General features: G+C 33.4%; 1 protein-coding gene across 3 annotated transcripts in view; it reads right to left on the bottom strand.

The window, feature by feature from the left end:
- The window catches only part of CFAP47 (cilia and flagella associated protein 47), a 465,584-nt gene that overhangs the window by 334,619 nt on the left and 107,491 nt on the right, over positions 1–23,474 (bottom strand). For all 3 annotated transcript variants that reach the window (NM_001304548.2, XM_017029452.2, XM_017029453.2), the window contains exons 23-26: positions 19,352–19,446; positions 14,845–15,004; positions 11,520–11,715; positions 3,636–3,845 (exon numbers count right to left, since the gene is read on the bottom strand). In NM_001304548.2, the coding sequence (NP_001291477.1) occupies positions 3,636–3,845; positions 11,520–11,715; positions 14,845–15,004; positions 19,352–19,446 (661 nt within the window). The remainder of the gene's footprint in view (positions 1–3,635; positions 3,846–11,519; positions 11,716–14,844; positions 15,005–19,351; positions 19,447–23,474) is intronic.

Genomic DNA, 23,474 nt, shown 5'->3' with positions numbered 1-23,474 from the left:
AGATTTATGCTGCTGACTTGAACTTCTCCACAGAAAATGGGTTTTTCTATTCTACTGCAGTATCAGGCTGCAAATTTTTCAAACTTTTATTCTCTGCTTCCTCTTGAACACTTTGCCACTTAGAAATTTCTTCTGCCAGATACCCTAAATCGTCTCTCTCAAGTTTAAAGTTTCACAGATCTCTAGCGCAGGGGCAAAATCCCATCAGTCCCTTTGCATGGCAAGAGGGACCTTTACTCCAGTCCTCAACAAGTTCCTTACCTCCATCTGAGACCACCTCAGCCTGAACTTTGTTGTCCATATCACAATCAGCATTTTGGTCTAAGCTATTCAACAAGTCTCTAGAAAGTTCCAAACTTTCCTACAACTTCCTGTCTTCTGAGCCCTCCAAGTCTCTAGGAAGTTCCAACTTTTCACACATTTTTCTATCTTCTTCTGAGCCCTCCAAACTGTTCCAACCTCTGCCTGTTACCCAGTTCCAAAGTCACTTCCACATTTTTGGCTATCTTTATAGCAGCACCCCACTCTCTGTGGTACCAATTTACCGTATTAGTCCATTTTCATACTGCTCTGAAGAAATACCAACATGGGGCAATTTATGAAGAAAAAGAGGTTTAATGGACTCACAGTTCCACATGGCTGGGGAGGCCTCGCAATCATGGCAGAAAGTGAAGGAGAAGCAAAGGCACATCTCACATGGTGGCAGGCAAGAGAGAGCGTGCAGGGGAACTGTCCTTTATAAAACCATCAGGTCTCATGAGACTTATTCACTATCACATGAACAGCACAGGATAACTCACCCCCATTATTCAATTACCTCCTACTGGGTCCCTCCCATGACATGTGGGGATTATAAGAGCTACAATTCAAGATGAAATTTAGGTGGGGACACAGCCAAACTGTATGAGACACTAACACTTCTGAACACCGGCCAATAACAAATGTGCGGGTCCATTGCTCCTGATGTCATTGGAACCACAACAACTACGTTCTTTGAATACACAGTCACATTTCATATTTGTTTGATTTTATTCTATAACCATAGAGACGATTCATGAGATTTTGCCTCATTAATTAATATATTGAGCAAAATAAATTAATAATGCCTCAGTACTTATTGAGTAGACTGTAATTCTATCATTACTATATGTGGAACACAGAAGTTTCACTAGTGTGTGTGTGTGTGTGTGTGTGTGTGTGTGTGTGTGTGAGAGAGAGAAATACATGCAGAAGAGTAAGAAAGAAAGAAAACATCTCTTATTCTTTGGAAAATCTATATATGACATATAGTAGTGTAACCCTCGAAAACATATGCTTATTATAAAAATTTCTATATAATTATTTATAGTCTAAATGGTATTTAAAATAAGGTGACTAAGTGGAAAATCTTTGGAAACCAAAATATGGTTTACATTCTTGGCTCCCCCATTTAATGTTTGAGTGAGCTTGGACAAGTTAGGTCACACTGTGAGCCTTAGATTCCTCTTCTATAAAACAGAGATGATAATCTAGAAACAAAAAAAAAGAAAAAAAACCCCACTTCTCAGGACTATTGTGCGGATTCCATGAGATCTAGCCTATGAGTAGTACCTGACTTGTATTAATTAATAGCTGTAGACCTTATGCTTCCTGTATTTGTTCAAACTTGATATCCATAACATCACACTCTCCTGGTTCTCACCCTATTTCTCACTCATGGATAGCAAAGCAGAGCATGGACGACTTTCATAATCTGTTCCTGCTGCCTTTTCAGTTTCATCCCCAGCTAAGTCTTGCCAGAATTCACCAAACCGTAACACCAAAAATGCCATTAAAATATGGGTTGCTTTAGCCTCCATACCTCATGCTTCATTTTACTGTTTATAATACTCCTTATTCACATCACCATTTCTCACACAGATATATATTTAGGTTGATGCAAAAGTAATTGTGGTTTTTCTGACATTGAAAATAATGGCAAAAACTGCAATTGCTTTTGCACCAATTGAATAAAACTTCTATCCCCAGACTTTTTGGGGAATTTGGGTAAGACGCAAGTAGGGTGTACAATCTCTGAGCTGGGAGCACATTATTGTGGATGGGAAAGCAGACAGATTAGCAGAAAATATTTATTCCTGCTATTATTCACAGATTTCCAGCTGGTTGGGCCAATCCAAATGTGACAAAATCTAAAGAAAACAAAATTAAAAGCCAAGCATGTTGGCCCCCAAGAGAAGCCACATTATGAAAGAATCTTACAAAGTAAAAGAAAGCAAAAAAATCAAGAAATCAGTCTTATATTTTTAATTAGGCCCATGGGCTTCCATATGAACAAACCAGATGCAAATAAAGGCTTCAACATAGGGCAAAAAACCTAACACACTGACATCCATCAAGGATTTGCCCCCTTTCTTTACCTAAATCTTGGGCAGAGTACACACATGGTTTGCCTACAATAAATATATGCTAATAGATTACCAATAATAAATGAGTATAATTTATTTCATAGAAATTCTAAAATGAAAAGGAAGCTCTTGAGGAATTCCTTTCTGGAAGACCTCATTTATCTCAATGAGATCAGAAATGGTATGCCTAAAGAGAGAAAGGCAAGGACAGCATTGGAGAGTAGAGAAGAGTAAGAGGATCTGATCATATTCACTGTAGAAAACCAGATAAGGAGTTAACCAGTCACCAGTAAAAGGATTTGCCAGTATTAAGGCTCTGGGGAATGCTTATGGCCTTAGTGCCTTGTTTATCTGGGTGTACAGAAAAGTCTTTTGTTGCTCATCTATGATTTGCAAAGTTTCTAAATTAGTTCCAATAGCTCTAATTTATCACAAATCTGCTGATGATTGAAATGGGATGTTGTGAAATATGATGTATTAAGAAGAAGATATTTCTATGTATTAAGAAGAGAGATGTCCCTCTCCTAATGCCAAACACATGAATCAGTCCTTTAACTACAAATATACAAATGACGCCTCTAAATGTTAATAAATGAGCACATAGAGAACATACTCTGACACTAATTTTACTTTTCATTATAAGCCTTTTAAACAAACTTTATAGCTCTACACTTCAACCTCTTGCCATTTAGTTAGTCAAGTTATTTCAGGATATGATGTAAAAATGGTATTTCTGGTCCTATAAGATAAGATATCCAGAAATATCATTTTACCAAGATGTATTTGAAATCTCCTCACCCCGTTAAAGTAACATGCAACAAAGCTATATTGTAGGGAAATCATTATGTTGATATTTCTCACTTTCAGTTGACACTTATTTAGCATTTCCTTTGGGTTATTTCCTGTCCAATTGCTCAATAATTACTAACTCACTGTACTTTTCATGATGACAGATGGGATAGGTTCTGCTATTAGCTCCATTTCATAGATGAGGAAACTGAGAGTCTCAGAAGTAATGTTAACAAAGCCTGGATTTGACCCCAGGCAGTCTAGCTCCAGAGTATAAATTGGTAGCCACTATTATGCTGCTTTTTGTGAGAGCGCACTTACATTTGGAATTTTAGAAATAATCTTTATGTCCAAGGTTATTATATTAGATCCCTCTCTTTTTAACATTTTACCATGGTGTAAAATATAAATATGTTATTCTTTAATGTCAGATACAAAATAATGTACATTTAGATATCTTACCAGTTTTTTCTGTCATCACAGAAAAGAAGATTGGTAAAAAATGACACAGGTTTAGATGACTTGAAACTGAGGTGGCAAGTGAGCTTATTATTAATTCCACTGTGAGAGCCTGGGATGACTCTGCCTTTTGGAAATTTCACAGAAAGAGGGTGAATCTCTTCACCATCAAGAAGCCTTACTGTGGGAATCTGGACACATAGAGTTGAATTTCTGTTTAAAATAAAAAAAATGTTTCATTAGCTCAAAATACCTGCCAGTCATTGGCTTTAAATGTATATTTCATTTTTTTGAATCCTCAAGAAAATTAAAATAAGAAATATTTGTAATCATGTGCCTAATTATTAAAGATATCTTTGTATCATCTCTTATTTTCTGATCACAATATAAGATGGATGATAACTAAGAACCACTTGAGATGATCAAATATTCCTTTTGTTCTATAAGGATTAAAAAGACATGTGACACCTGATTAAACACAATATTTCTTAATCACCATCATGATAGAAATTACTGTTTTTAAATGTATTCTGATGAAAATTTACCAAAAGTTATCACTTTAATAGGTACAAACTTAATGCATATAGACTGAATAATAATAACAGATGCATATACATGTAGGTAGATATTTGAAAATTTGGATACTATTAAGCGCATATATACATATATTATGAATGTTTTTCAATCATTACCATTCAAAAATTCCACTTAATGTTGACATACTTAATTATACATTTATACTTTTTATAGCCATTCCAAACTGTTTATTTTTAATATAAAAATATGTATTAATAGTATTCACTTTAAAATTGAATTACTACTTATTATTTTTAGTGACCAATAAATATTTAATCATATTACTTTGTTTACTTATATATGTAAAAACTTACATATCTATGGCAGATAAGAGGTATCATCAAATGGAAATTATATATCCTTGCTATTTTAATCAGTATGAGAACTATTTAGCTAATAAGAAAAAATAAAGATCTAAAATTGTATTAGTTAAACCTATACGCTACCTTGAATAAAAACATGGAAAGTAATTTATAAATCCAGTTTGAAAATAATTCAGTTATTACTTAGCTAATTAACTTATCTTTGCATAAGTGATTAATGCTGTTGATTTTATTACATATGTATAACTTGGACACTGCATTACATTATTTCTTCAGTACCTCTCATATTCATTTCATTATACCATATTTAGCAAGACTCAACTTTTGAGTTGAAGTAGCTTTTAAATTGATACCTTTATACATTAATTCCAAAGTTGAAAAATTAAGAGATTAATTCATATATTAGAAAATGATTATTGATTTAAAACTGCTTTCTAGCACAATTTAATTGAAGCCACTACTATTTCCCGTTTAAACAACAAAGGTTAGTGTCTATTTATAAGATAAGGTCTTAAAGGAACTGCAAATCCCAAAGTTTTGATGATGTTGAACATTACCTAACAAAGTAAATGACATTTTGAGCGAGCCCCATGGAGTCTGTAAGTACTCAGTCCTGGCAGCATTCATCACCTGTTAACTGAAGAGCCCCCTTGGACCCTGAATAACCAGCAGCAATACCCAGGTACTACATTGAGGGCCTTGGGTGACCCTCTGAGACTTGCTGGCTTCAGGTGAGATTCAGCACATTACTAGCTGTGGTGGCTATGGGGCAAAACTTGTTCTGCTTGTGAAAAGCAGAAGAAAAAGTAAAGGAGACTTTGTCTTGCACCTGAGGTACCAGCACAGCCACAGCGGAGTAGAACACCAAGTTGATAAATTTCATTACCCCTTCAGGACAAAAACCCTCAAAACACTGGGGACAGGAGAAACATACCTCAGCATGATAAAAGTGATGTATGACAGACCAACAGCTAATATCACATAGAATAGAGAAAAACTGAAAAATGTCTTCTAAGATTTAGAACACAACAAGGATGCTCACTTTCACTACTGTCATTCAACATAGTAATGGAATTTCTAGATAGAGCAATCAGACAAGAGAAAGATATAAAGGGCATCCAAGTTGGAAAGGAAGAAGTACAATATCCTTGTTTGTAGATTATATGAGCTTATATTTGAAAAAGACTCTGCAAGAAAACTATTAGAACTGATCAATTCAGTAAAGTTGCAGGGTACAAAATAAACATAAAAAATCAGTAGCATTTCTACATGCCAACAGATAACAATCTGAAAAAGAAATAAAAAATAATAGAATTGGTACTAAGGTAGTGGGGCATTGCTGTAAGATACCTGAGAATGTGGAAGTGACTTTGGAACTGGGTAACTGGCAGAGTTTGAAACAGTTTGGAGGGCTCAGAAGAAGACAGGAAGATGAGTGAAAATTTGGAACTTTCTAGAGTCTTGTTGAATGGTTTTGACCAAAATGATGATAGTGATGTGGACAATGAAGTCCAGGCTGAAGTGGTCTCAGATAGAGATGAGGAACTTATTGGGAGCTGGAGTAAAAGTCACTCATGCTATGCTTTAGCAAAGAGACTGGTGGCATGTCGCCCTTGCCCTAGAGATCTGTGGAAATTTGAACTTGATGGAGATAATTTAGGGTATCTGGTCAAATAAATTTCTAAGCAGCAAAGCATTCAAGTTTTAACCAGGCTTATTCTGAAAGCATTCAGTTGTATGCATACACGAAGAGATGGTTTGAAATTGGAACTAATGTTTCAAAGGGAATAAGAGCATAAAGGTTTCGAAAATTTGCAGCCTGACCATGTGGTAGAAAAGAAGACAGCATTTTTCTGAAGAGGAATTCAAGCCAGCTGCAGACATTTGCATAAATAATGAGGAGCCAAGACAATGGGGAAAATGTCTGCAGGGCATGTCATAGATCTTCATAACAGCCCCTCCCATCACAGGGCCAGAGGCCTAGGAGGGAAAAATGGCTTTTTGGGCTGTGCCCAGAGCCCTGCTGCTCTGTGAAGCTTCAGGGCTTGGTACCCTGTGTCCCAGACGCTCCAGCTCTAGCTGTGGCTAAAAGGGGCCAAGGTACAGCTCAGCTCATTGCTTCAGAAAATGCAAACCCCAAGCCTTGGTGGCTTCCACATCGTGTTGGGCCTGCAGGTGCACAGAAGACAAGAGTTGAGCTTTGGGAACCTCTGCCTAGATTTCAGAGGATGTATGGAAACACCTGGATGTCCAGGCCAAAGTCTGCTACAGGGGCAGAGTCCTCATGGAGAACCTCTGCTAGAGCAGTGCAGAAGGGAAATGTAGGGTTGTATGTGCCACACAGAGTCTCCACTGGAACACTGCCTAGTTGAGCTATAAGAGGGCCACCATCCTGCAGACCCCAGAAAGGTAGAACCACCAACAGCTTGCACCATGTGCCTAGAAAAGTTGCCTGCACTCAACATCAGCTTGTGAAGGCAGCCACAACAGCTGTACCCTCCAGAGCCATAGGGACAGAGCTGGCCAAGGGTGTGGGAGCCCACCCTTTGCATCAGCATGCCTTGGATGTGAGACATAGAGTCAAAGGAGATCATTTTGGAGCTTTAAGATTTGACTGCCATGCTAGGTTTCAGACTTGCATGGGGCCTGTGGCCCCTTTGTTTTGGCCAATTTCTCCTATTTGGAATATGGACATTTACCCTGTGCTTGTACCCTCATTGTATCTTGGAAGTGACTATCTTGTCTTAGATTTTACAGGCTCATATGTGGAAGGGACTTACCTTGTCTCAGATGAGACTTTGGACTTGGACTTTTGAGTTAATGCTGGAATGAGTTAAGACTTTGGGAGACTGTCAGGAAGACATGATTGCTTTTGAAATGTTAAAAGGACATGAGACTTAAATGTTTTTAATACTTATTTGTTTTTAATACAACTATATATATTTGTATATATTAATACTTAAATGTTTTTAATACTTAGTTTCTACATTTGGCCTTTCATATTTAAGCTTTTAATACATTTGTAATGAATTTTTGTGAATTGTGTGAAGCAGAGATACAATACAATTTGGAATATTTCATACAGATATTCAATCATTCCATCATTTACTGAATAATAACTTTCTATCTCCAAAGAACTTCAATAACATCTTCATCATAAATCCAATAACTATTCATCTATGAAACTTTTTTAAGGCTATTTTATTCCTTGGTCATTTTATCTACCCCTGTACCACTATCATATTGGTGTAGTCTTGAGGTTCCCTATGGAAAGCACTTCCCATCTTATTCTTCTTCCTCTTGGGGAGCTTAGCTGTTCTTGATCCTTGACCCTTCCATATAAAATTAAAATTTTACTTTTCAATCTCCATGAAAACTTTAGTTGAATTTTTATTGAAGTCACATGAAATATGTAAATTTATTTGTGGAAAACTTTTTTTACAGCATCGAATATTCCAATCCATGAATATCGGTGTATTTATTTGAGTTTATTATTTATTTATTTGAATACAGGCGTATTTAACTTGAGTTTTATAATTTTCTTTATACAGTTCTATACAGCTCATTCATATCTTTATCTATTATATTTATCTATTATCTTTTAATCTATTATCTTTTAATTTTTGATGTTATTATAAGTAGTAATTTAAAGTTGTGTGCTCTATATATTATATGCTGAAATTATATTGAATTTTAAGTATTTAAGTTATATTTGCCTATTTTGATAAGTGATCTTCCCAGTTTTAAAAAATCTCCTTGTAGATTCTTTGAATTTTCTATATGAAAAAATAATCTAATATACAGATAATGACAGTTTTGAGTTTTATTTCCTAATCCTTATACATTTTGTTTTTCTTATCCCCCTGCCATGTGCTAGGTTCTCTATTAAAATGCTTTAGGGAAGCAGTGATAATAAGCATTGTTGACTTTTCTCTTGTTAAAAGGTAATTCATGTATATTCCAGTTTCAATAATATTTGCTCTAGGCTTATGATAGGAACCTTAAACAATTAAAGAATATCTATTTTATTACTGTTTGTTGAGAGTTTTTCCATGAATGATTTAAAAATTATATCACATACCTTTATTCTCAGTCTATGAAAATGATCATATCATTATTCTCTTTAATGACATTTTAGATTTTTTGATGATAGACAAGCCTTGAAATACTGGAATACAAACAAGTTGGTCATGATCTATCTTACATACACGTTGTTTGATTCTTTTTTTTTTTTTTTTTTTTGAGATGGAGTCTTGCTCTGTTGCCCAGGCTGGAGTGCAGTGGCGCAATTTCGGCTCACTGCAACCTCTGCCGCCCAGGTTCAAGAGATTCTCCGGCCTCAGCCTCCCAAGTAGCTGGCATTACAGGCATGTGCCACCATGCCCGGCTAATTATTTTTAATATTTTTAGTAGAGATGGGGTTTCACCATGTTAGCCAAAATGGTCTCGATCTTGTGACCTCGTGATCCGCCCGCCTCGGCCTCCCAAAGTGCTGGTAGATTCTTTAAGGATAATTATATGTATGTTCTCATAACACAGTTTAGCCAATAATTCAGCTTTTCTATACTGTCATTTCCTGACTTCATAATAGAAATTTCTGAGATCATAAAACAAATTAGGCCGCATTATTATTATTCTATAGTTTGATATATCTGTTTCCTGAAAGTTCAGTAAAACTTGACTGTAAAATCATCAGAGGATGTTTTCTCGTGAAGTTTCAAGTATTAACCCAAAGGCTTTCTACTTATTCCCAGTATATTTTTAGTAAATTATATACTTCTACAACTTTCATATTTAAGTTTTCACATGTATTAGAATAGACCTCTTTATAGTATTTTGATTATCTCATTTTTTTCTTTGGATTTATGGTTATGCTTCCTTATTTCTAATATTATTTAACTGTCCCTTCTCTGTTTTGTTCCTTGTCAACTTCACTGTATTAGTATCCATTGTATTCCTCTTTCAAAGAAGAAACTTGGTTCCACTGAGTTTCTGTTTTGTATATATTTTTATATTCCTTTAATTTCTACTGTGTATAATTTTATCTCACCTTCTACACCCCATAAGTTAGTCTAAGAGGCTATTATTTGTAATCTTACTTATAAAGCTGAATGTTTAAAATTTCCAATCATTTTTTTCTTTCCTAATATCAGTATTTAAGGTTATATATTTCCATGTATGGATAATTTTGCTGTACTTTATTAAGGTTTTTTCTTCAATCACTGAAATTTTGATGTTTATTTAATAAAACAGATAAAGTAAACAATGATGCCGGCCTAATTCTTTTTCTAAAGGAAGTAGTAGAAGTCCCAGTAGCTGTTTTACGTTTAGTTTTCAGCTCTAATGTCCACATGGTGTTTATAGTACTTGATTGTATTATACACTCCTGATCCTCAGTGAATGTTTTCAAGATTTGGAATCTAGTATTTTAATTATTATTTATTTGTGAAATTCAGTATAATTTCTTCTTTCACTCTGTAGAATTTTTTTAACATTTTCTAACTCATGGTGGATCTTGTTATCTTTTCTTTATTGACTTTTAGTTTATTATATTTATTTTTGGAGAACATAGTCTATATTATGTCAACCCTTTAAAAATTTTTGAGACTTGAATTATAACTATAGAATCATACATTGTCAATTTCTATAAATGTCTCATGATTGATTTAAAAATGTGTATTCTCTAATTGTAACGTGCAATTTATACATGTTAAATGAATGAAGCTTGTTACAAATATTGTTCAAATATCTTGTCTCTGGACTCATCAACACTTCTGAAACATGTTTTAATATCCTAGAGTTATGAAGGACTAGTCATATTTTCCCAATTTTAATTTGGAGGTGACACATTTTAAGACTATTTTAATTATACATAGAATTTTAGAATTCAGTTGGCTTTCAGGTGAATTTAATCTTTTATAATTATTTGATGACTTTTATATCTTAAAAACACACTTTACCTATAGAGGTTATTGCATTTGAAATTAATACTGCTACCCAGCTTTATTTTGGTTATGCTGTTATATCTCTTCCTATCATTTCACTTTGGTGCTTTTCAGCTGAGGGTGATTTTGCTCCCCAGGAGACAAGTAGCCATGTGTAGAGATACATATTTTCTGTCATATCATGGGGAGGAACACTATTGGATAGAGGCTATGGATGCTGCTAAACATTCTACAATAAACAACATAGCCTCCCACTATATATATTTATAGACTTTTCAGGTGTAATTAAGGTCTCTGATTAATTGACTTTGAATAAAGCAAGAGGGAAATTATCATGGATGGGTCTGACATAATCAGTTGAGATCACAAAAGAGGGTTTGAAAGTCAGAAGCAGAGAAGTCTGAGAGATGGTATACTTTTGGCCTTGAATTAGTTGTACACCATGTTGTGAGGATGTGACCACATGGCTAGGACTTGAGGGTGGACTGAGAGTGTCCCTAGGCAAAAAAATGATGCTTTAGTTCTATAAGGACCATGAAATCAATTCTGTCAACAACTTGAGAGCTTGGAGGAAGACTGAGCCTCAAGTGAAAGTGCCACTGCAGCCAACACCTTGACTTCTGCTTATTGAGACACTCAGCAGAGGATGCAGCTAAGACAGCTGGACTACTAAGTCAGAGAAACTGCAAGATAATAAACAAATTCATGTCGTTTGAGATATCAAATGCATGTTTTAAGGCACCACGTTTGTGATAATTTTTCACATAGCACTAGAAAACTAATATATTGAATTTTTAGGCTTGCTTATTACTTCATGAAGAGAGACACAGCAAAAGAAAATTTACAAGAAAATTCAATGACTAACTGTGAGATAATTAAGAAAGATTTTTTGGTTTTTTTGTTAAATTTTAATGTATGGTTAAATATTTTAATAGTTCTTTCCAACTATAGAAACAAGCCATTCTTATATAATTCTTATATAACACAGAAACAAACAAAAAAGCACATAAAGAAAATGTGGTAAATTCACATTGAGTATTTACCTGAAATAGTTTTGAGGTAAAATGTTGATATCCATTACAGTTGTTATATCCAAAGGAACAGGAGTGAAAAATATAAATGGAGGGTCAAACAATAACTCTGGTGATTTTACTTCCCCAGTAAGATGTAATATTTTATAGCAAACTGGAATATAATTTAAAAGCATAGGAATATCTGCTGTGTATGTCCCAGGACGATCTAATGAAAAACAAATTTTAAGGGTATTTTAAATTAGTTAAAACACACAAAAAATTTACATAGCTGAACTATTACTAAATTTCAAAATGTACGATGATGTTACAACTTAATGGGACAGAATAAACTACCCAGAAACAAGATTTAGCTTGCTGAAGAACTTAAGACATGTAATGAGGTGCTGTTGAAAGAAAACTATTTTAAAGTACAGCTTGACTAGAAATGGAGCAAGTCTCTTTAATGTAGATTTTCATAATTTGGAGAAAATAAATATGCCCTGGGAAAGCAGTGCAATTGAACATTTAAAAAAGTATTTTCTGTGTTTTAATAGAAGCTTCCCAGGCCTTTAAAATATGCAGTATGAAGATGAGGATAGATCATTGCCATAAGGATCCCAGGGGACTACTGAGAAAAGGAGGTCCTGAGATGAAAGGAATGTGCTGTATCCCAAATTTTTAAGTTTAAGAAATACTACCAGGGTTGACTGGCCAATTTTACCTGGTAGGAAAGGACAGGAAATTCCCATGCCATAGCTTAATAAGAGAAAAGATAGTTTGTGTTAGAGAGCAGGGCTCAACACGGGAAGCTGAAAGCTAGTTTCTGGGGACAGTTTCCATCACAGAGAGTGATCAATACCCTTTCACATCGAAATCTCCAAGAATAGTGTGTGATAGAGAGAAAAGAGTGACCCAGTGATTGTGATTTCAAGCTGATATCTTAGAACCCTCAAATGGGACACCAGTGCCCCTTAGCAAAGATTGGGGCCATCAAGGGTATCTTCAGAGCAGAAAATGACAGTGCACTGGGTGATGCAAGACCATGTTCAAAAGTGGCACTTAGTGCTAGAAGCAAAAGCAATGAACTCATTGAAATCATCAGCCATACTAGTGCTCTCTGTACTGAAGGCCATTACTTAATCAAATAAGCCCTTTACCTGATCAAGTAAGTAGTCTAGTGTTCTTGGAAAAAGGGAGGCAGCTGGAGAAGAAAGGAGAGGAGGAATAGAAAAATAATGGGCTCCCTACTAATAATGACAAATGAGTACTGGAAAGACTATGTGAAAAATTTAAATAAATTATGTATACTTTGAGCTGATAAAATAAGCTATAAGAGAATGTATGTATTTAAAACATTACAAATCTATAGGGAAATAATGGTTTCATTTCATAAATTTGATATGGTTAAATTTGTTTTGGGGAGAAAAAATAATTTCAGAGTTAGGGAAGGTTTTAAGATTTATTGAATTCTGGATTTTGAAAGGCCTACTTTGAGATTATTTCAGAATTTCAGACCTCTTAAAGGGTTCTAGGGTGATAGAGAAGGGGATTCTTTGTATAACTTCAGACTATTGGAGATTCAATCATACCCTTTTTAAGCTGAGAGTGTTTTCTCTCTCATCTGAGATGTAATTTATAAAGGCATTTTAAGCATGTTTGATTCTTAAGAGTTAGGTTGTATTAGCCAGGCATGGTGGAGTGCGCCTCTAGTCCCAGCTACTCGGGAGCCTGAGGCAGAATAATCGTTTGAACCTGGGAAGTAAATGTTGCAGTGAGCTGAGATCGCACCACTGCACTCCAGCCTGGGCGACAGGGCGAGACTCCATCTCCAACAACAACAACAACAACAACAACAACAACAACAACAACAAAGAGTAAAGTTGGGAGCCTAATAAAAGAAACGACAGATATGACTGCTAGGGCCCAGCGCATATTGAAAGAAAAGTCAAATGGAAATGTTTTTTATTTCCTTCTAGATGGACCAGTCCAGTCCATTTTATCTGAGTATAAATGTCGACAGGCACATAAAGGAGAAGTTCTGAACAGAAAAATGGATGGTAGGTTCAGCTGGAATAGCCTTTGTGCTATTTCTTTCAAACCAGAATATGGAAGAAATGGAGATGAAACTAGAGAAATACATAATAAAACAATTATTTTTACTAAACAAATTTCAGAATGCAAAGAATAGTTGGTATTTTCTATCATATTTTCAGAGATTTAAAGAGAGGTAATAAAAAGATTAAACATTTTTAAGCCTACTAATCATAATATGCTATGAGATGTTTCTCACACACAAAGCTAAAATGATTATACAATGCCATGCTAATAGATATAGTAGAACATCAACTTAATGCAACACAGTGCTAATAGAATATTATTGAGAGAGAGAGAGCACACTTCAATGAACTCTCTAATAAGCTTTAAAGCTATAATAGATTCTTACCCTGCCTGAACTTCTACTGATAACTGAGCCAGTTGTGGGTATTTTATCTAGATTACCACATGTGTAAAACTTAGTGTCCTCGGAATTTGGGTATTTTATAAGTCTAATAAAATGAAAAACAGATTACATTGCACTATAGTGGCTGAATGTGATAAGCAGAATTCTGAGAACGTTCCTCAAAAAATTAAAAATAGAACTACCATATGATCCAGTAATCTCAAAGGAAATGAAATCAGTATCTCAGATATCTGCACTCCTATGTTTATTGCAGCAATATTCACAATAGCCAGATTATAAAAGTGTCCATTGATGGATGAGTGGATAAAGAAATTGTGATGTATGTACACAATAGACTATTATTCGTTCATACAAAAGAAGAAAATCCTGCCCTTTCCAAAAAAAAAAAATGATTGAACCTAGAGGACATTATTGTAAGTAAAATAAGTCAGACACTGAAAGACAATTACTGTATAATCTCACTCATATGAAATCTAAAAAGTCAAACTCATGGAAGCAGAGTGTAGGGCATTGTCTTCTAGGGGCTTGGGAGTGGGGGAAATGGGGAGACGTTGATCAAAGGGTACAAACTTTCAGTTATAAGATGAACAAGTTTCTGGGGATCTAATGTACAACATGGGTGATGATGGATATGTTAAGTAATTTCATTGTGGCAATCATTACACAATGTATACATACATCAAATCCTCACATTGTACACCTTGAATATATACCAACTTTGTCAATTAAATAATGTAACATTCAAAAATGAGATTAATAAAATTGTATTATTTATAATTATTCAAATTAAAAGAAATAACAAATAATCTAAATTTCTGTATACATAATAAAACAATTTCATATATGAAGGGTAAATTGAAAGTATAACTACAAATATAGGAGAAAATATCTTACTTGGACAGAAACTTATGGAAACATTATACTTTTCATTTGGTCGTAGAATCCCATTCAGTACACTGAACTTGAATGTGCCGTCTTTGAAAAGTTTGCCAGTATTACTAAGATCCAAAGTCCATGTCACATGGTGTTTGGTAATATTATATAAAACAAGATTCTGCTCACACACACAAAAAGACAAAAAAAGTTTAAAATTATAGCATGCAATCTAAAGTTTAGTTGTATTACCATCTCAATTTGATGAGCCTATGTATAAATTCAAATGATTAATCATAGATAAAATGCTTTAAAATGATATTAGACAAACAAAGGGGTTTTTAGTCTGATGAAACTGTTCTCTATGGCATTGAAGTGGTAGACACATTATTCCATGCATTTTTCAAAACCCAAAGATCTTATGTAAACTTAAATGTATGTAAATCAAAAACAAGCAACCCAGCTGTAATACAGTGCATCACAGTCTGTAATCCATCTTGGAATGTTGATACACTGTCTTACAAATGTGTGAAATAACCTCATTGAATGTAGTTAGGGTAGGGAGAAATTGACGTCAGTAACTTTGAAAAACTGTGTTTTTGACTGAAAGCTACAAGGCTAAAGAGTAAGAATTGTGTATGAATAATGTACTCTAGGTGATAAACGTGTCAGCAATTTTAATAGGCCACAGGTTAGAAATTCTGAAACTTCTTTATTTGAAGTTAGGATTAAAAAATAAGTAAATGAAGTGTAAAAAATGAGAGGCAGATTTCTCACTGTCAGAGAAATTAGTCAAAAATGAGTAAGAGAGAAAGATGGGAATGGACATTGTGGTGCTAGATTAGAGATATCAGTCTGAGCTGGTGTTAGATGGATGTATGGATATATATATATAGAGAGAGAGGGACACATATATAAATAATTATAGGTATATGTGTCTATGTGGATTAGTATATATACACATATTTCCTGACTCTATTGTTGAAAGGGCCTAGAACCTGTGACAATGCAGTAGCAACTCTTATACACAGTACTTAGACCTTGGTTTCTAAATATCATTCTACAATAAAAAGTACTAGGGGATCTTGGAGAAATGTTGATTTTAGAGCTGGAGCAAGTAAAATAAAAGATGAGCCTGGAACATTTGGTAGTACCACTAAGAAAATACTTCAAAATCACAATGATGGGAGCCTGTCAAAGGACCAACGTAGAAGAGCTTATAATGGCCAAAGCAGAAACAATTTTAGCAACAAAATAAAAAATGTAATATTAAATTATAACTGAAAGTATAAAAATAAATATATGTGTGTTCATGCTAACATATTATGTAATAAAATAAATAAATAGGGAGAGGAAATAATCTTTTTTAAAGAAAATTTCCAAGTAATACATGTAATATATAAGTAGAGCTTAACCTCCTACCACTTGATTGTAGGCTAAAATTGATCACACACTTCCAAAGGATAGAGTATGGGAAGTGAAAAATAGTAACTTCACAGTGGAGAAACCTAGCAGACATCACCAGTAATTAGTTATTTTCATATCATGTATTCCTTTATATGATGTGATAAAAAAATTATTTCACCTCGGTAACATTCTTCTCCAAAACCCATGGAAAATAAAAACTCAGTCTAATCAGGTGAAAAACACCAATCTCAAATTAAAAGACATTTTCAAAAAATGCTGGACAAATACTATTTAAAATCGTGAAGATAATAAAAAATAAGCAAGATTGCGAGCCTGTCACAGGTTGGATGAGACTAAATGCAATGTGCTATCCTGGTTGGACCCTGGGACAGTAAATGGACATTAGTGAAAAACCATTGATTTCTGAATAGAGTCTGTTGTTTAGTCAATAATGTTGTACTAATGTTAATTTCTCATTTTAAAAAAATGCCCTATGGTAGTGTAAGGTAATGTTAGGTAAAGTTGGGTGAAAGCTATCAGAAATTCTCTGCACTAGCTTTGAAACATTTTAGTAAATCTGAACATTATGGGCCTGACTTGCATGCAGACTCATCTTTCCAATGTAACCTGCTATTAAAATAAAACTATCAACCAGGTTTTTTCATTAACTTTACTCTTCAAATATTTGAAGACTATAGAATGAGCCATACAATTATCAGCACAACAAAATACATACCTCATTTCTTTCTAAAGCATGATTGATTTAAAACATATAGGATAAACAACGAGCCAATTTTTTTCCCAAGCCTTGAAGTACTCAAGCATCTATTTAGCTCTAATATTGGTATATCCTAACTATAAAAGGTTAATTTACACATTCTAAAGAAAACAACATGTTTCAATACAGGAAATGAGCACAAAATCATACCAGCCATTTGAAGCTTAATTTTTGTCATTTTAAAATGAGGAAAAGTTATTATACTTCCAAAATACTATCTATCTTCTATATCTTATAATTCTGAGAAATGAAATGATACAGTTATCTATAAAGAAATATTGGTTAATTTGTTCAGTATGTTTAGTGTTATTTTTTCTTTATATTTTTGTCAAAATGATATATGTATGCAGCTTACACAGAAAGTTCAAAATGCTTGTTTAAAAGCAGTTGTCCCACCAAATTCCTCTTCATCAAAAGTTCTGCTTCCCAGAAGCAACCAATTTTAGCCAATTGTGATTTGAGTTTTTATCTAAATGTGACGCCAATATGGCTTATGTTAGTTTTCTGTTGCTGCCATAACAGATTACCACAAACATAGGGACTTAAGAAAACACAAATATATTGTTATATATCACAGTTCTGTAGATTAGAAGTCCAACGCAAATATCATTTGGCTAAGATCAACGTGTTAGCAGGAACTGTGTTCCTTTCTGAAAGCTCTAGGGAAGAGCCCATTTCATTGCCTTTTCTAGTTTCTAGAGGCCAGCTGCATTCCTCAGTTGGTGGCCTTCTTCCTCTAAGTTGAACACTGCATCACTCTGACCCTTCTGTCATCACATCTCCCTCTGAGCACAGTTAGAAAAGGTTCTCTGCTTTTAACCACTCATGTTATTAGATTGGGGCCACCTAGATAATTCAGGAAAATCCTCCCTTCTCCGAGTCCTTTACCATAATTACGTCAGCAAAGTATCTTTTGTGATATAAGGTCATGTATTCACAAATTTTGGAGATTAATACTTAAGCATCTTTGGGGCCATTATCTGCCTGCAGCATGAGTATTTTATGGTTTATCAGCTTCAGATATTGTCTTTTGACTGCCCACTAGGAAAAATGAAGACTCAGCTCCACTTCCTATTTTTTTCCTATTTTGGATATTCATATTTTTTAAAATTTTAAAATTCTTCCATTAGTCAACTTGGTAATTTTAAGCAAAATATATATATCTCTTGTTTTTCTTTTTCTCTGTACTTTAGACAATATCCTTTAATTACCCACTATGTAAAATGAATTTTATTTCTTTATTCCAAAATCCTTAAACCTTTAGTCAAATTAACCTTCCATAAACATATTACGTCTTCTCTGTACCATATATCTTATATATTATGACTGCAAATATCATTCATGGGAAGTTTAAGTAGAAGATTAGAGTCACGTTTTTTTTTTCTCCATGGGGCCAATGTCCCTCTTTCTCCTCAAAAGAGAGAATGCTATTGGTGTCTAGATCTTCTTTGCTTACATCGATTGAATAAAATTTCAATGATATAAAATAATCTCACATTTATGAAGGTATTGTTTTTATCTGAAATCCATTAAATTCAGTTAATTAAAGTTGCCTTTCTAGCCCCACACATAAGGTCTTTGTATCCTTGAAGTTCTATTCAAAGTAGTTTTCTTGACTTTTGATACTCTAAACAGTCACATTTTAATTTCAGTAGATCCTTTATTGATCTCTAACTATAATTTTATATAGCACTCTGCTATTTTTTTATTAATGCAAGGCTAAATATTCTCTCCATATAATTTTTCTTCAATGCTATAAAGGTTCAAAATTGGTTACAGGTATAGCAATATATAAGACAAAAAGGGGCAGTGCAAATACAAATTTCTATAATGTGTGCTGAGCTTCTTTTTTATGCATGTCTGTTTTCCTTCCTAATTAGAAGAGAGGCAGAGATATCCTTTAAGAAAAAATAGTAACTCAATAGAGAAGCTACTTTATTATTATTATTATTATTCAGATTTATTATTGCCTCCTAGCATATTTTCTTTTATCTATGGAATATATTTCATATTAATTTAAATCATAGCTTCCATTTGTATAAGGAGAATGGAATAATTTAATTATATTAAACTTATTTTAATATTCTTATTAATTATATGCGTATATGTATTTATAAATAGCTGTATATGTATTTGTATATTTTGAAAATTACTCCTGAGAAATTTTATCTGTAAGTTTTCTAAAAAATGCCGGTATTCTTGCTCCGAAGAGCATAAACAATTGGGGAGAAATTAATCATAGGGAATAGTTCATATCACTCATGCTTATGAATAATCAACTTAACAAACTAGAATTCATAATCATGAAAAGAATTGTAAACTGTATCACTTCTTTATACATACCTGAGTTTTTGTGACCTTGTTATTAGGATTCATCTCATGTAAAGGGATTTCAAATACAAACTTAGTACTAGATAAGTTCAATGGTGATTGCAATGCTGTGAGAGGAACATAAATATACTGATAAAATGTCAACAGATATAAGCCCATAGGTACTTTTTAGTATACTTTAAAACACTAAACAATAAGAAAATAAGATTTGTTTCTATATATTTTTATATTCCCAACCAGAAAATAAAATAACATTTAAAAACATTTCTAAAATATCTTGGTTTATTGAATTAACAAAGTTCCCTTTTGTGGAATTTTTTTAATGGTAATGAATTATAAGTAAAATAGGAAAATTATCCTTGAGATAATAAAAAAGATGAAATTGAGCTAAGAAAAAAGTAAACAGAGCTAAAATGATCTCCACACTAGAGTTTGAACAACACAGAAGTGAGCAGAAATGCAGAAGGAAAATTTATTGGAATACAGAGAAAATATTTAGCTGGCATAGTATGTAACATTTCCTAGATAAAACAAGAAAACTCTGGGAGTAAATGGCTATTCTATGGAAGATTAAGAAAAGGGGTATCTGTAAAAATACTCACTGCATTAGAGAAGATATTATAATCTACTGGAAAAAACCTATACTTCTTGAAACTTACCTCTAAGACATTTGTAATTCTTAATGAAAACTAAAGGGTATCACCAGCTTTTGAAAAAAAAAGTAAATAAAATAAAACAATTTCTGATCCTAAAAATGTATGTATCTTACACGTGTTTTTATTATGCCACTGGAATTAATGGATGATTTGACAGGGGGCCAGGACATGTGGGATAGGAGAAAGTTATGGATAGTGTTCATCCTTGTGTTACTCCCAAAACCTGTCATGTGAAATCCTAAAAGAGACAATGTTACCACAGATATATAAAAAAGTGGCACATGTAATATTGTATTTCCATTTACAAATTGGCATCTAGGAATAACCAGTGAAAATAATATGTTGACTATAACTTTAAAAACAAAGCATTGTTCTGGCATATTACTTCACCATTTAGAGAGCCTTATTTCATTAAAACAAATAAGTTATACTCTGCCTATCACAAATTTTTATAGAATCATTTTCTGAAGAAACCAAACCACCTAAGATTAAAGATCACAGACTAATTTCCCAGACATACTTCCTAAAATTAAAACATTCATTAGTATCCTGATTGCCAGACAGTGATATAATATTTAATGATAAAGCCAGCCTTTTGAGAGGTATTAATAAACATGAGCAAACAGGCAAGGGTCAATAGATATTAAAGAACTATTCAACATGAAAGAGAGACATAAAGGAAGAAATAATTCAGTAAAAGTAGTGAAAATGTAGTCAACAGAAAAAAGTCAATGAAATCATATTATAATTAGAAATAAAAGGTATTATTTTCCAAAAATAACAGGCTATAAATAAATAATTAGTAAATACTAAGAACTCTTGCTAATTTAAAACTGCCAAAATAAGATTTTAAGATTTAGAAAAGTCAAGTAAGAAAAATATTGGGAAATTCAATAAAAAGATGAGGAAAATGGCAATAAGAGAGACTGCCTAAGATAATAAATAAATATATATACGCATATATATACACATATATGACATAATCCATAAAGTATAAAATCCAACCAATAGTAATCTGAGAATATAGAAAACGATGATTGAAAATTTTCAGGAAATAATTTATGAATGCTTTGTAGAACTAAAGGACATGAGTTCCCCATTTGAAAGAACACAAAAATGGAACACAATAGTGAAGATCAAAACCTGTGGGTTATAGCAAAAGCATTGCTAAGAGGGAAGTTTGCAGCATTAAGTGCCTAAATCAAAAAAGAAGAAAGATCACAAATAACCTAATTTTACACCTTAAGGAACTAGGAAAACAAGAACAAACCAAAGCCAAAATTAGCAGAAGAAAAGAAATAAAGATCAGAGCAGAGCTAAATGAAATAGAAACTAAAAAACAACAAAAAGGATTAACAAAAAGAAAAGCTGGTTCTCAGAAAGTGTTTAAAAAACGGATAAGCTATTATACCAGCCAGACTAACAAAGAAGGGAGAAGATTCAAATAGACACAATCAGATATGAAAACAGATACATTACAACTAATATGACAGACATGCAAAAGATCATCAGAGACTATTATGAGCAACTGTACACTCACAAACTAGAAAATCTAGAGGAAATGGACAAATTCCTGGAAACATACAATCTCTAAGATTGAACCAGGAAAAAATAAAACTCCTGAACAGACCAATAATGAGTAAAGACATTGAATCAGTAATTTAAAAAAGAAATCTACCACCCAAAAGAGCCCAGGACCAGTGTATTCATAGCTGAATTCTACCAAACATACAAAGAATTATACCAATCATCCTAAAACTATTTCCTGTAAGAACTGGAACAAGACAAGGATGCCAGCTTTCACACTCCTATTCCACATAGTACTGGAGTCCTTACCAAAGCAATGAAGCAAGAGAAATAAATAAATAAATAAAAGGCACCCAAACTGAAAAAGAGGAAGTCAAACTATCCCTGCTCATTGATAAAATCTGACATCCTTTAAAGACTCTACTAAAAACCTCTGAGATTTGATAAATGAATTCTGTAAAGATTCAGCATACAAAATTAATATACAAAAATCAGTAGTGTTTCTATATACAAACAATAATCTAGCTGAGGATCAAATAATGACAGCAATCTCATTTACGATAGCTTAAAAATAAATAAAATACTAACCAAGGAAGTAAAAGATATCTATAAGGAGAGCTACAAAACACTGATGAAAGAAAACACAGATGACACAACAAATGGGAAAACATTTAATGCTTACAGATTAGAAGAATCAATTATCATCAAATGGCCATACTGCCCAAAGCAATCTAGAGATTCAACACAATTTCTATCAAAGTACCAATGTCATTTTTCGCAGAATTAGAAAAAACAATCCTAAAATTCATATCAGAATAATGAAACTGGACCCATACCTCTCACCATATACAAAAATTAATTAAAAATGGATTAAAGACCTAAATATAAAACCATAATCTATAATGATCCTACAAGAAAACATAGAAGAAGCTCTTCCAGACATGGACCCAGGCAAAGAATTCATAACCAAGTCCTCAAAACCAAAAACAACAAAAATAAAAATGGACAAATGGGACTTATTGTAACTACAAAGCCTCTGAACAGCAAAATAAACAAGAGAAAGAATAAACAGACAACATACAAAATGGGAGAAAATATTAACTATGCATCTGACAAAGGACTAATATCCAGAATCTGTAAAGAACTTAACAAATCAAGAAGAACAAAACAAATAACCCCATTAAAAAGTGGGCAAAGGACATGAACAGAAACTTCTCAAAAAAAGACAAACATGCAGCCAACAAACATGAAAAACATTTCAACATCACTAATTATCAGCGAGGTGCAAATTAAAACCACAATGAGATACTATCTTACACTAGTCAGAAAGGCTACTATTAAAAACTAAAAAAACAACAGATGTTAGTGAGGCTATGGAAAAAAAGTGAACACTTATATACTGTTGATGGGAATATAAGTTAGTACAACATTTATGGAAATAGTGTGGAGATTTCCCAAAGAACTAAAAATTGCACTACCATTTGATCTAGCCATCCCACTACTGGGCATAAACCCAAAAAGAAAGAAATCATGACATCAGAAAGACACCTGCACATGTTGGATAAAGAAAATGTGATACACACATATGCACACATGCATGCACACACACACACACATACACGCACACCATGGAATAGTACTCAGCCATAAAAAAGAATGAAATCATGTATTTTGCAGCAACATGGATGAAAGTGGAAGCCATTATCCTCAATGCAATCACTCAGAAACAGAGTCAAATACTGCATGTTCTTACTTTTAAGTGGGAGGTAAACGATGGAGACACATGGACATACCCCATGGAGTAATAGACATTGGAGATTACAAAAGGTGGGATGGTGTGAGATGGCGAGGGTTGAAAACTTACCTACTGGCTACAGTGCTCACTATTTGGATGATGGGTACCCTTAAAGCCTAGACTTCACCACCATGCAACATATGCATGTAAGACATCT

The sequence above is a fragment of the Homo sapiens genome, chromosome X (assembly GCF_000001405.40).
Source record: "Homo sapiens chromosome X, GRCh38.p14 Primary Assembly".
NCBI classification, from domain to species: Eukaryota; Metazoa; Chordata; class Mammalia; order Primates; family Hominidae; genus Homo; species Homo sapiens.
The sequence above is the reverse complement of the archived record's forward strand: the minus strand, read 5'-3'. Positions and strand labels throughout refer to the sequence as shown.